A 14497-nucleotide genomic window follows, 5' to 3' on the forward strand; every position below is an offset into this window, starting at 1 on the left:
GAGGGAGTGCCAAGAACCACTATTATGCATGTGCCTCTCCCAGCCCTGTGTGCTCCAGCGCCCAGCCTCAGGGGCATGTAATGGCTAGCATTTCCTGTAAGAAGGCCTCTTACGGAATAATATGATGTCTGGGGTTTGCTTCAGAAGAAAGCAAGCTCTGCATGGATTTGCATGTGTGGGTGGGAGTGTGCGGCCTAGAGGGTAATCGATGAAATTGGATTGGCCGTATTTAGCTGGGTGATGGACACATTCAGATTCATGATTCTTTTCTTGGAATTTTCTCCCTCATAAAGATTGGGGGCAGAAGCCATAGCTCCCTGTGCCTGTCTGGCAGTATAATAATAATAACAACCACAATAACATCGCGTGTGCTGAACACCAAGGTGGTGTGCCGCAAGCGTCCTCTCCAAGCGTCCTCCTCATGGATTTTATCATCCTTTTAGAAACGTTTACCAAGCCCCCTATGTGTCAGGCACTGTGTTCATCCGAGGACTTTACCGTCTGTAAACATGTGAACAAACAGCAGTCACTTGTGATAAGGGCAGAAAGGAAATAGAGAAGGGACTGTGGACTGAGTGGTCGGGAAAGGCCTCTCTGAGGAAGAGAAGCTATCAGTTGTGTACTCCTAATAATCGATTTTACAGACAAGGAAAGGGAAGCTCAGAAAGGCTGAGTAACTCGCCCAAGGTCAAACAGCTAGTAAGGATCCAGGCAAAGACTGTAATCTAGGAACCCACACCCCTCACCGCTACACTGAACCCCTTTGCCAACCCTGTGAGGAATTACCAGAACCAAACTGTAGTTCTGGCTCCAACCGGAGACCTCCATTTTCTTGCTTGAACAATGGGGACAATTCCTTTGCTATATTGTTCCTTTCCTCTTAGGGGGCCAACTCCAGAAAATGCTTTTAGGTTGCAGAGAACTCATGAGTGAAAAGGGGTTTGGATGCTCCCTGAAAACCATCCCCACTGAGACTGTATAGGCCCCCCACCTACTCAGAAAATGGCCAGACCCACCAGTAAGCTTCTGATGAGGTCCTACTAATGCTTTCAGGCACAAGTAAGCTTGGTGCGGCCCCAGTCCTGCAAGGAAGACAGTCCTCACAGCTGGCTGAGCTCTGCCCTCCCAGCCCCTCTCCCTTTCATGGGCTGCACACTCCACCAGCTCTCCTGAGACTAGACTAGCTCTATCCATTGCTCACCGATGCACCCTCTGTGCATGTGACTGGGGCCTGTCCCCAGCCCCTGCTCCCTGCCCATCGGAAACTCTGAGTGTGGGCTGTGTCTGCATTGTGCATGGTTGTATTCCCAGGGCTGTGCACAGTGCCTGGCACTTTGTCAGGGCTTAACAGTCATCCACTGAATGAATCCTTCGACACGCAGCTCTCCTGATGCCTCCTCCTAAGGCAGTTGGTCACTTAGTCCCTCTCATGGGCTCCCATCTCTTGCACGCATGTGTGTCCTTCAGACTGCAAGGTCCTTGGGGACAAACAACACTTTATTCATCTCTGGGGGCCCTTGCACATTGTAAGGACTCAATTCATAGGTGTTGAATGAAGGAACTGATTAAACTGACCCATTCCAAAAACCTTGAGCTGGGATCTAGGAGCCATAGGTTCTAGTCCCCCTTCTGGCACTAACTTGGACAGTTTCTTCATGGGACCAATGGGAATCACGGAGTCTTGCTGCCAGTGCCAAGCTGTGTTAACAATTAAATGGCACCATTGTTATGGAAACAAACTGGGAGAGTAGAGAACAAGCTACAGTTGCAAGGGTTGACACTTCCTCAGGGACAGGGACGTTGCCTTCCATTTCTCTTCCATTTCTGGGACTCTTGTCCCAGAGTCCTTAGGGTTGGGGCATGACAAGCCCTTAGTAAATATTTCTAGAGTAAGGCAGGTATTTTGTTGTTTTGTGACAATTTGCCATGTGTCCTTGGATGAGTAGCTCCCTTTGGTTGGGCCTCAGTTTTCCCATGTGAGGAATGAGGAAGGGGCGTGGACAAATCAATCTGTTGAGGCCGCAGGAGGAGAGTCACTGAGTCTGGACCTACTCCCAGAAAAATAGGAGAGGGAGTGGCCAATTTCCTGGGTTTCTTGAACCTCAATTTAAGCCCCATGGATAGTAGCGATCTCTGATATTCTTTCTGCCCTGGTAGCCTACATTCTGTTCCGTGATGTTTCTTCAAGCCACTCTAGGTCCTCAAAATGAAGCCTTTTCCCTCAGATTTCTTGAAGGCTCGTTTTCCTCCTGCTTGAGATCAGCTCAGGAAGACTGGGGGTGGGGCTGAGTCTATTAATATCCCTTCCTCAGCTGATTAACTCTCCATTAATTTGCACTCTGTTTCTGTGCTGAGCAGGGAGAGCCGAGCTAATGGGCCTGGGGAAGAGGAGAGGGGTGGCACAGCTCCCTGGGATGGATGGCTGGAGGAAGCAGTGGCCAGCGTGGGCAGGGATGGCTGCTCCTCCCAGTCAGGCTCAGAGCTTCCTGCCCCACCTGGCTGTTTCAGTGGAGTAGGGTGGGGAGAGGTCGGGAGAAGGAGAAGACTTTTGGTTTTACCCAAATTGATGGGTGCTTCTTGAGGTCTTCGCCATTTTGGACTCATTTCAGCACCGTGACCGGCACTCAGTAAGTCAGTGTTGGCTCTCTAAGTCCTGGGTTCTAGTCCTTAGTCCTACCCCTGACTCACTGTGTGACCTTGAAAGGTCTCTTTCCTGGGGCTTTATTCCTCCCCTGCCACCACGCCCCCCAAAAATAATGGCAGATAGATTTCCTTGTGAGTGCCAACTGTGATTGATTGGCAGTTGTCACCTGAAGCCCTGCATCAGGGAAAATGCTGGCATGGAAGGAAGCAGCTGTTAGCAATACAGGGGAGCAGTAGCGTGTGCGCCACGCATTTGAAATCTCTCTTCACTACATGGTTCCTGAGAGCCCTTCCGGCTCTGATATTTGTGATAATTCACAATATCTCTGGGCCCTTGGTACTCTCCCTGGGAAAGAGTGAGAATTCTCAGTTCGTGCAGTGCTGATGATGTCATCTCTGAATGACTTCCCTCTAGAATCTGCTCTTTGAGACACTGAACTTAGCCTCCCGCCATTGTTCATTGTTTGGTTCATTCACTCTTTCATTAAGTAAATCTGCCGTGGTGCCTCCCATGTCCCAGGCATTGAGCTTAGGGACCTAAGCACTCTACAAAGCACTCTCATTACTGCTTCCAGACTTGGCCTTCTGGGAGCCCAGGGAGGAAGGCTGGCCAGGGATCATGTCTTCCCATTTCACAGGGAAAGGAGCAAGGCATAGAGGAGGGAAACGACTTGCCTAAGATCACCCTTTTGATGGCAGAACCCCAAGAGTGGTCGCTGAGGCCCAAGTTCCAGGATCTTAACTCTCCATCAAGCTGGACAGATGGTTCTGGGCTGGACAGGGTTGGGAGTCTGGCCTGAGGGTTGAAGGAGACTTGTGGGTAGGGGGTGGGGGCAGCCAATGAGCCCGCTTGCATTCTAAAGCCAGAGTCCTCGGACCCTGATCTACCCTCGGGCCTCCATCCCCAGGGCCTGGGTCAGGCCCAACCAAAATCTTCTTTTGACCTTTCTTTTATTCTTAGCTCTGTTCTAAAAATTACAAACGCGTTTGTTCTCTCCCCGTGTTCCCCCTTCGAACTACTCAGCTGCTGCTCCGGCTGTAAGGCCTGGAACAGATTTAGTGCAGCCAAAAGGCCGTCACGAGACGTGTATTTCAGATGAACTTCCTGCAGAAAGGATAAACAGCCTGACCTGGGATGGGAAAGAGTGCCGGAGGAGGCATCATGTGACAGAATGTGCCTTCTGCCAGAACAGCCCGGGGACCAGGCCTTACTAAATGAGGCGCTCGGTGCCTCACCTAGAAGCCACGTGCTCTCCACACCAGGCCTCTGGGCGTGGGGGCCTGTGGGCTGGGGGAACACACGCCGACCCTCCTTATGGTTCATCTGTGCATGGGGCACTCTTGCTGTCCAAGTCCTGGCTTTGGACGTTATTTGCTATGTGACCCCTGACAAGTTGCTGAGCCTCCAGGAGCCTCTGTGTCCTCAACTGCAAAATGGAGATCAGAATCGTGCGCCCCTGGGCGAGGTTGCTGTGAGGCCTCCCTGAGCCTGACAGAGCCTTTCTACTCCTCTCTTCAGCCAAGCGCTGTGCCTCTGGCCTTTGATTGGGGTTTCCCTCTTCCTGGGTCTCCCCTCCTTAACGCTTTACCTGGCTGGTGTCTTTCAAGCCTACCTTTAAGTATCAGCTGCTCAGAGAAGGCATCTGGGACCACCCTCAAGAGCCTGTAAGTCCTCACCACATTCTTTTTCTCCATCATGGCTTCCTTTTATTTTCTTCCTAGCCTTTCTCACGCTCTGAAATGATCTTGTTTGTTTGTTAGTTTCGTCCCATCCTCCACAGGAGGGTAAGCTCCATGGGAGCGGGGCATGTCATTCTCCACGTGCTGTTTATCACCAGCGTCCAGCATGAAGCCAGGCACAGAGTAGCCACCGGGAAGGGGAAGGAAGGGAGCAAAGAGTGCAGGGGGCAGTTATACTACCACCGCCACCACTGTCATCATCATCATCGTCATGGCAGAAATCGTGTAACAGTAGCAGCACTAGCAGTGGTAGTGGTAGTAGTTACAGTCATCACAGTAGCAAGTGCTTTTATTTTGTGCCAGGCACCATTTTCTAAGCATCTTACCTAAGTTTACTCATCTAGTCCTCAGCAGTAACCTTAGGAAATGTGTGCTGTGTGTTATCCCACTTGATAGATGAGAAAGCTAACTTGCCTGAGAGCCCAGAGGTGCTAAGTATGGGACCTGGGGTACAGCCCCAGCTCCAGAGCCCGAGTGTCTAATCACCATAGTTGCTACCTCCTCAGGAGTGAATGAGGAGAGTAAGCTCTGGGAACCCGCAGAGAAATTATAGCTGCCTCGTCACTGCTGTGGTTATTATTGTCATGGTTGAACCCTGGAGCTTCTGGCCTTCACTCTGCCTGGACCCCAGGGTCTGAGGGGCTGTAACGGGTTGCTGCTACCAGTGTGGTAGGCCAGCCTCTGTCCTTGGTGGGGGAGGTAGGCGTCACTCAGGTGGACAGCCCTGTGCCCAGGTATGTGATAAGCAGCAGAGCCCAGAGTGGGACTCCCAGGCAGGGCCCTTTCCATTGTCATCTACTGCCTGTTCATAAAATTCTGGGATTCTTGGAGTCAATAACACATTTATTGGGCATCTGCTATGCCAGGAATACTGAGCAGCTCTGCTGGGTGGGCAGAGGGGAGGGTATGGCAGGAGGGTGTTGGTGGGCCAGCTGGCTGGGCAGAGCTGGTGTCCACCGTGGAGACTGAGTCTAAGGTGGTGACTAACCATCTCCCCATCTGCCTTTCTGACCCTCCCGCCCTCCTCACTCCAGATTGACAGTGAGAATGAGGCCCTCCTGGCAGAGCTCACCAAGACCCTGGATGACATCCCTGAAGATGACGTGGGTCTGGCTGCCTTCCCAGCCCTGGATGGTGGAGACGCTCTATCATGCACCTCAGCTTCGCCTGCCCCCTCATCTGCACCCCCCAGCCCTGCCCCGGAGAAGCCCTCGGCCCCAGCCCCTGAGGTGGACGAGCTCTCACTGGTAAGAACCTACTTACAGCAGAAGTGATGGTTGCAGCCTGGGATTAGGTTTCTGGTTCAGGGCATGGGGTGCAGAGCAATCCGCTCCAGCCCCGCAGGGGACTCCGTGCATCACTGGCAATATTGATCACAGCAGAGAGCGTGGGCCGAAGGTGGGAGGCCCCCCTGGACTTAACCTTTCCCACCTAGACAGAGGTACTAACGACAGAGGCTTCACCTGCATTCTCTATGCTCTTTGGTACTTTAGGGATTGACCAAGTTACGTGTTAAATCCTTGAAATTACATGCAAAACATTTTCCTGAAGATTGCACACACATGGTAAAAATCCAGGTAGTAAAAGTGGACAGTTAAAAGCAAAACCTCCTTAGCCCTCTCTCTGTTGCTTTTTCCTGTCCCAGAGGTAACCATGGTTACTGATCTGTTATGTGACTTTCCTCTTCTACCTTTTAAAAGATTTTACTACAAAAGGGAGTCTACATTAGGGCTCTGCACGTTGCTTTCACGGTTAACTGTGTGTCTTGGAAGCTCTTCCACATGAGCACGTAGAGCTCTGTTTCATTCTTTGTGTTGGCTGTGTAATGTTCCTTGGTAGGGTTTCACTGGTTCCCCTGTTGGGTATTTGTGTTGTTTCAACTCCTTCCTCATTACAAGCAGTGGCACAGTAACTGTTCTTATACAGGCCTTTGTGACATGTAAATGGACAAATTCTTAAAAATGAAATTCCTGGGTCTGTGGATCTGTGATTTTCCAGTTTAAGCAGATACTTGCAGATTGCCCTCCAAAGATGTTGGACTGGTTTACACTTCCACCAGCAGAAGTTAAATGCGGTGTGAGCGTGTGCGGAATGTGGAAATGTGCACATGGAATAGCAGCTTTCTAGGGAGAACATCAGATTTTATCAGATTTTCAAAGGAGTCTGGAACTCAGAAGTTACTGGAAGCAGTCGCTCTCAATCCGGGCTGAGAGCACCCATAGCTGAGCTGTCCTGGAGTGTGAAGTCTAGCTTTGCTCAGCCTGTCTTGGGCCCCTCCCTTGGTGCTGTGGCTCCTGGAGGCTGGCAGGACTCAGCTAGAAAATCAGAGCCTGTTGGAGCCGGGAGGGTTCTTAGGTTATGGAGAGTTTGAGCTGGAAAGGCCCTTGGTGACCCTCAAGCCCAGCTCTGGAAAAACTGTGGCCCAGAGTGGGGAGGGTATCTCCAGTAGTCACACAGCAAGTCAGTGTGCCAGCAAAGACTAGAACTCAGGTATTCACTCCTAGTCTAGGACCCTTTCCCTTCCTTCCCACTGCCTTCAAGTTCCCCAAAGCAGCGTGAAGCACCCACCATGCCAGGCACAGAATATGTTCAGTCCCACATTATGGCTCCTGCCGAGAGGGGGTCCTGCTTCATTTCAGACTGGAATCGAAGCACCTAGGTTTGAATCCCAGCCCTGCCATTTAGTACTTGTATGTCCCTTAGGCATACATCCTGAACCTCTCTAAGCCTCGGCTTCCTGATCTATAAAGAGGGGTTAATAATAGTGCCTATGTCAAAGGCTATTAGGAGGATTACAGCAGATAATACACATAAAGCACTTAGAACAGTGCCTGGCACATAGAGTTGCTCAGTAAATGTGAACTAATACTTCTGGTACAACCATTAGTGGTAACAAGCATTCTAGTGCCATTTCTTCACGGGGCCTTTGGAGAAGAACCAAAGCTTAAAGAGGCAAAGCGCGACCCCTGCTGGTCAAAGGTTGTTTCCCTCCCATGCCTTAGATTACCTTCATTCCCTACATGCTTATTGAGTGCCTCTGTTTCAGCCATTGTGCAAGGCACACAGGAAACAGACTTGCTGTCTAGACTCCCTGCATACCGACAGAGATCTGGAAGGGCCCTGAGGGACCGGGCACAGTGGCTTATACCTGTAATCCCAACACTTTGGGAGGCTGAGTGGGAGGATCCCTTGAAGCCAGGAGTTTGAGACCAGCCTGGGCAACATAGGAAGATCCATCTCTATGATTTTTTTTTTTTTTTAAATTAGCCCGGTATGGTGGCACGTGCCTGTAGTCCCAGCTACTCTGGAGGCTGGGGTAGGAGGATTTTCTAAAGCCAGGAGTGTGAGGCCTCAGTGAGCTAGGATCATGATACTGCATTCAAGCCTGGGTGACAGAGCAAGACCCCATCTCTTTAAAAGACAAAAAGCAAACAAACAAAAAGGCCCTGAGAAGTCATCTGGACCTCAGGTTGGGCCATGGATCCCAGAGAGTCCAGCGATGGACTTGTAAGGACCTGTGGACCTCTGTGTGTCTGTGTGATTTTCTGAGGTCAGCAACTTCTGTCATATTCTTAGAGTCAAAAAAAGAGGTTTTAATCCAGCCATGTAGTCTCTCTGCCCCTGCTCATTACACCAATGGAGGAATCAAGGCTCTCACAGTGCACCGGGCCTGAGCCAGGCTAGAATGAGGTCTCTTTCCCCCAGTCCTAGGATCATTTCCCATCGAAAAAGTCACAAACATGTGGGTGCTGGTTTGGGGTTTAGGTGGGGTAGCCAGGATCCTGTGGCTCCTCAAGAGTGTGGAGTGGCCTTTTCTCTGGCTCCTGGCCTTTGGCATTCCTTGTTGGAGTGACTTGGGGTGGCATGTTCCCCAGGGAAACTCTCCGTGCTGTACTAAAATCTCATGATCTTTCTCAGTTTGTTATCAAGCTTGGCTAGGATCTCCGGCGGAAAATCTAGATGTATTCAACTTCCTGCTCTCTCAGCTCAGGTACACTCTGTACCTGCCCTCAGGGTGCAGAAGCAGAAGAGCTTTTACAGTTTTTATAGAAAAAAAAAAAAAAGCCAAACAAGCTTAAGTGTAGTCTTCCACTTGTGTAAAAACAACAGGGTAGGGCCAGGCACAGTGGCTTACGCCTATAATCTCAGCACTTTGGGAGGCCGAGGCGGGCAGATCGCTTAAGGTCAGGAGTTTGAGACCAGCCTGGCCAACATGGTAAAACCCCATCTCTACGAAAATACAAAAATTAGCTGGGTGTGGTGGCAGACGCCTGTAATCCCAGCTACTTGGGAGGCTGAGGCAGGAGAATCGCTTGAACCCGTGAGGTGGAGGTTGCAGTGAGCCGAGATCCTGCCACTGCACTCCAGCCTAGGTGACAGAGACTGCATCTCAAAAAAAAAAAAAAAAAAAAAAAAGAAAAAAAAAAAAAAACAGGGTGGGTTGGAGGTAATGACTACATACATATACTTGCATAATGAAAGCCCACCTCATGATAGGTTCACCGAAAAGTAGTTAGTGGAGTTGCCTCTAGGAGGCAGAAGGGGACTTTGAGCAAGAGAGAGACTTGCTTTTAATTGTCTGCCCTTTAGTATTTGTGATGTGTCTTCTTTTTTTTTTTTAATCATTTACAAGTATTACCTTGCTTAATTTAAGAAATTAATTTTTAGAGGTAATATGAATAAACAGAAAGAACAAAGGGGAAATCAGCTAGAATCCCATACCAGAGAATCATTTTGGTACCTAACCTTCCAGATTGTGTGTATGTGTGTGTGTGTGTGCACTCAGAATGTCCCAATAAAACTGTATCATAATATTTTAACAGTAGAATAGACAGACGTTACCCAAGACCTGCTTGAGTTTTTCTAAGTCATAGCTATTCCCTGGGGTTATTAACTCTGAAAAGGATTTGTATGTTATTAGCATACTTACGTGTGTTCGGGATTGTTAGACAATCTACCATCTGCACCTAGTATCTTGGGATCATCATCCCAGGTCATGGAATGCCCACCCTGTGTTCTCCCTGTGGTCCTGTGATGCCCAAGGTCAGTCCTGAGGGGCTGGCCATGCAGTCCATGTCCTCTGGCTGTGGCTCAGCCCCGGCTCCTGTCCTCTCTGCTTTTCCCTCAGCTGCAGAAGCTCCTCCTGGCCACATCCTACCCAACATCAAGCTCTGACACCCAGAAGGAAGGGACCGCCTGGCGCCAGGCAGGCCTCAGATCTAAAAGTCAACGGCCTTGTGTTAAGGTATTTCTTCACATGCCCCCAAATCTACCCCAGGTGTCTGTTGGGGCTGCAGCCTTCAGCTCTGGTGGAGGATAGCGAGTTCAGTCAACCTCCAATATCTCTTCCCACTCCTCCCACAGCCCTTGTAGCTGGTGTCCTGGGCACTGCTTCTGGAGATCCAGCCTAGTTTAGGGTTTTCTGGAAGGAGCCCTGGACTTTCTCACACTTTAGTGTTCCAGACACTGGTAGATGTTAATGCAGCTTAGAGCAAGGATGAGGAAAGTGTGGCCAGGCTTCAGAGGACTGTATTCCAACAGTGTGACAGACCAAAATGCAAGATTGCGCTGGTTGTGGAGGCCACAGTAAATAGTTTGGATTTTTTTTCCCCCCTCAGGGAGCCCATTGGAGGGTTTAAAGCTCTGCCATAGACATCCAGGGTCAAAGAACATCCCTTTTCCTCCTTGAGCCCCATCTTCCAAGCCTAACAAGAAGAGGCGTAACAGGTGTTTTTCAAAGGGTCCTGTCCTCAAAGGCTACACACAACCCCTCCTCTTCCTGGTCCTGGACGCTTCTCCTGGGAACTGTTGCATCCAATCCTACATCCTCAGAGGCAGAATCGGGACCTCTCAGACAGCAGCTCAGTGTAGGAGCCTCTCCCTTGCTGGGGCTTCTCTGGGGAATGAGTCCCTATGCTCCCTCCCTATTTGTCCTGGCTGACCCTCCTGAAACAAAGGTCCACCCTCTCGTGCCTCATTCTGTTGAAGGGGCAGCAGCCACACCCCATTGTGAGCCAGCTGTTTGCCCTCTGGGAGCCTAAGAAGCTCCCCAGAGAGGTGAGATGCATCTGACAGCCATTGCTAGAAAGTCCCAGCACAACGATGAGTCACACTTGGGGGGAAAGCCCCAGTGTGGACAAGCGGGGCGAATAAGACTGGAGAGGTTGGCTGGTGCGAGTGCAGAGGACCTCAGACACCCAGCCATGGAGCCTCCCCTTTATCCTGTGGGCACTAGGAGCTACTGAATTTTTTGTTTTTTTAAACTTTATTGAAGTGCAATTTACATACATAAAAGCCACCTATTGTAAACAATTCTATGACTTTTAGTAAACTTATACCCATGCAATTGTGACCATTATCCAGTTTTAGAACATATCCATCATTCAGGCTGGTCGCGGTGGCTCACGCCTGTAATCCCAGCACTTTGGGAGGCTGAGGCGGGAGGATCACTTGAGCTCAGGAGTTCAAGACCAGCCTGGCCAACGTGGTGAAACCTTGTCTCTACTAAAAAATACAAAAAATTAGCCGGGTGTGGTGATGCACGCCTGTAATCCCAACTACTCGGGAGGCTGAGGCAGGAGAATCGCTTGAACCTGGGAAGCAGAGGTTGCAGTGGGCCGAGATCGATGAATCCCCCAGTGCTCATTTGTAGCAAGTCCTTCCTACGCCCAGCTCCAGGCTACCATGAACCTACTGCCCGGCTCTTGGCTGAGGGGTACGGAGCAGGGAGGCGGAATGGTCAGAGTGGGGCTTTGTCAGTGAATCTGGAAGGGTCTGCAGGGGCGAAATTCCATGGCTGGGAGAGCTGTTAGGAGGCTGGTCTTTCCTTCATTCCTCATCCACTGAGCACAGCCAGGTGCCCGGCTCTGTGTGGGAAGCTGGGGACGGAATGAAGGAAACCTGGCTGTTCCTATGATCCAGGTGAGACACAATGGGCCAGCCAGTGACCATGCGGATGAGACACATGGGAGGAGTGTTTGGGCCTCCTTCCTCACTCTGGCCTCTCTCCCTCTCTAGGCGGACAGCACCCAAGACAAGAAGGCTCCCATGATGCAGTCTCAGAGCCGAAGTTGTACAGAACTACATAAGCACCTCACCTCGGCACAGTGCTGCCTGCAGGATCGGGGTCTGCAGCCACCATGCCTCCAGAGTCCCCGGCTCCCTGCCAAGGAGGACAAGGAGCCGGGTGAGGACTGCCCGAGCCCCCAGCCAGCTCCAGCCTCTCCCCGGGACTCCCTAGCTCTGGGCAGGGCAGACCCCGGTGCCCCGGTTTCCCAGGAAGACATGCAGGCGATGGTGCAACTCATACGCTACATGCACACCTACTGCCTCCCCCAGAGGAAGCTGCCCCCACAGACCCCTGAGCCACTCCCCAAGGCCTGCAGCAACCCCTCCCAGCAGGTCAGATCCCGGCCCTGGTCCCGGCACCACTCCAAAGCCTCCTGGGCTGAGTTCTCCATTCTGAGGGAACTTCTGGCTCAAGACGTGCTCTGTGATGTCAGCAAACCCTACCGTCTGGCCACGCCTGTTTATGCCTCCCTCACACCTCGGTCAAGGCCCAGGCCCCCCAAAGACAGTCAGGCCTCCCCTGGTCGCCCGTCCTCGGTGGAGGAGGTAAGGATCGCAGCTTCACCCAAGAGCACCGGGCCCAGACCAAGCCTGCGCCCACTGCGGCTGGAGGTGAAAAGGGAGGTCCGCCGGCCTGCCAGACTGCAGCAGCAGGAGGAGGAAGACGAGGAAGAAGAGGAGGAGGAAGAGGAAGAAGAAAAAGAGGAGGAGGAGGAGTGGGGCAGGAAAAGGCCAGGCCGAGGCCTGCCATGGACGAAGCTGGGGAGGAAGCTGGAGAGCTCTGTGTGCCCCGTGCGGCGTTCTCGGAGACTGAACCCTGAGCTGGGCCCCTGGCTGACATTTGCAGATGAGCCGCTGGTCCCCTCGGAGCCCCAAGGTGCTCTGCCCTCACTGTGCCTGGCTCCCAAGGCCTACGACGTAGAGCGGGAGCTGGGCAGCCCCACGGACGAGGACAGTGGCCAAGACCAGCAGCTCCTACGGGGACCCCAGATCCCTGCCCTGGAGAGCCCCTGTGAGAGTGGGTGTGGGGACATGGATGAGGACCCCAGCTGCCCGCAGCTCCCTCCCAGAGGTAGTCAGAGTTGGTGGTCTGCGAAGTGGGGGCAGGGATGGGGTGCAGCATGCCCCTCTGCACTGGGAGCCAGGAGCCCTGTGTTCAAGTCCCCGTCCCCCAACAAAGTGTTATATGGGTTTGGACAAGTCCCTTCCCCTCCCTGGCTTTCAGCTTTTCTTTGGGCTAGTTGGAGCAGATCTTCAGAAGAACACCTATGCATCTCTGAGTTTTTCATCTTGCATGGGCAAGGTGCCACTTAATGAATTAAGCAGGCAGTCAAAAAGTAAACAGAAAAGGAGGATAATTACAAAATTGCAATAGGTACTGTAAAGAAGACTCACTGGGGATGATGTGACAGAAGCGTAAGGCTATAAGTTCAGCTCCACAATGCAGCTAGAGTTTTAAATGCTGCTAATAGCAGTAATGATAACAACAGTTAGCCACTGTATACTTACCGTGCTGGCACTGGTCTCAGATGAACAGATTGTCCCTATTGAGTCCTCACAAGAAGGCTCTCTGGTAGGGACTGTCATCGTCTCCATTTTATGATACAGAAACTCAGGCACAGAGCTACTTAATGATGAGCCCTATGCAGGGCTGTCTGTCCAGAGCTCACAGCAGTGGGACTTAGAGTCAAGTTCTTCCTCACTGTGCTACACGTTTAGCCAGAAGGGGTCACTCTTGCACCTGTTTGTACTTTCTGCAAAATCAAGTCGCTCTCCCAGCTGAGACTAGGATGGAAGGTGGATTTGAGTTGTTCTGCCCTTCTCTAAAAGTGGCAGAGGTGTTTGGTCACCTGCCCAAAGGGCAGCTGTGCTTGGCACCAGTGGAGGCCTAGGGTCTCCTCCAGAGGGGAAACATCTGCTAGTGATACCATATTGGGGAATCTTATTTTTCTGTGTCTTCTTTTCAGACTCTCCCAGGTGCCTCATGCTGGCCTTGTCACAAAGGTAGATTTTTAGAAATTATTGGTGTATTGTTCCATGAGATTTTGTCTTGTTGGATGTGTGTGTTGGTGGTGATGGGGGATTCATCAGCGCCCACCCCTGGCCCCGGCCCCACACCCTGTGCCCTGATTGTCATCTGGGACCCTCAGGAGCTGGGCTCCTTTAGAAGGGAGTTGGTGTTTAGAAACTGACTTTTGCAGGCCAGAGGAAAGGCCTCAGGCCATTTCATAACCTGTCCTCTTGGGGGCCCTGAAAAGAGTTCTTTTCTGACAGTGCCCTGTGGCTTTCAGCAAGTCCGTTCCTCCTTCTGGGCCTCGGTTGCTCCCTCTATAAAATAAGGAGGCTGACAACACTTGTCCTCTATTTACCCTCCAGTGAACCTTGCCTGTGTCTCCTAAAAGAGCTGTGCAGCTTGAATTCCTCTAACAGCCGGGATGGGGTTTCCCCCAGAGCGAATGCATCTCAGGCTCCATTTCCATGGGCAGTGGAACCAGGGCCTGTCACAGCACTCCCTGCGACCCTTTCATGGGCGGGGAGGTGGATGCCTGCTGCTGACTTGCTTCTTTCCTTTCTGTCCTCCCTGCCTCCACCAGCGACCCAACTTTTGGCAAGAAGAGCTTTGAGCAGACCTTGACAGTGGAGCTCTGTGGCACAGCAGGTGAGCCAGGGGGCTTCCACTGGCAGGTGCCTTCAGGAAAACACCCGTGCATCTCTGAGTTTTTCATCATGCATGGGCAAGGTGCCACGCAATGAACGATGCGCAAGATGCCTGCCTTCACGGGGCTTATGTTATAGGCAGTCAAAAAGCAAACAGAAAAGGAAGATCATTACAAATTGCAATAGGTACCATAAAGAAGACTCACTGGGAATGAACCAGCATTACAGGCGTGAGCCACCGCACCCAGCCCAGGTGGGCAGTTTTATCTGCGGTGCCTGCCCCCTCTCCGTCATGGGAAACACCAGAGGCATATGAGAGGTATAGTTGGGAGGGTTTGTTGAACGATTGGACGTAGATCAGGAAGAGGTATTTGGATGACTGGGAGGT

The 14497-nt window shown here is 51.6% G+C and overlaps 1 protein-coding gene across 8 annotated transcripts in view, besides 1 other annotated feature; it reads left to right on the top strand.

Annotated features, from left to right (window-relative positions):
- The window catches only part of PPARGC1B (PPARG coactivator 1 beta), a 127650-nt gene that overhangs the window by 90946 nt on the left and 22207 nt on the right, over window positions 1-14497 (top strand). For 4 of the 8 annotated variants that reach the window (XM_011537553.3, NM_133263.4, XM_011537554.3 and 1 more), the window contains exons 3-7: window positions 5418-5630; window positions 9512-9628; window positions 11401-12523; window positions 13419-13455; window positions 14046-14110. In XM_011537553.3, the coding sequence (XP_011535855.1) occupies window positions 5418-5630; window positions 9512-9628; window positions 11401-12523; window positions 13419-13455; window positions 14046-14110 (1555 nt within the window). The remainder of the gene's footprint in view (window positions 1-5417; window positions 5631-9511; window positions 9629-11400; window positions 12524-13418; window positions 13456-14045; window positions 14111-14497) is intronic. The other 4 variants (XM_011537555.3, NM_001172698.2, NM_001172699.2 and 1 more) reach the window with 2 other exon arrangements.
- Window positions 10382-10591: an enhancer, noted in NCBI's record as "active region_23391". NCBI's record gives its function as "activates an Ori minimal core promoter by ATAC-STARR-seq in GM12878 lymphoblastoid cells {active_cell/tissue: GM12878}" and the evidence as "EXISTENCE:reporter gene assay evidence [ECO:0000049][PMID:35858748]".

This window comes from Homo sapiens, chromosome 5 (genome assembly GCF_000001405.40).
Source record: "Homo sapiens chromosome 5, GRCh38.p14 Primary Assembly".
NCBI classification, from domain to species: domain Eukaryota; kingdom Metazoa; phylum Chordata; class Mammalia; order Primates; family Hominidae; genus Homo; species Homo sapiens.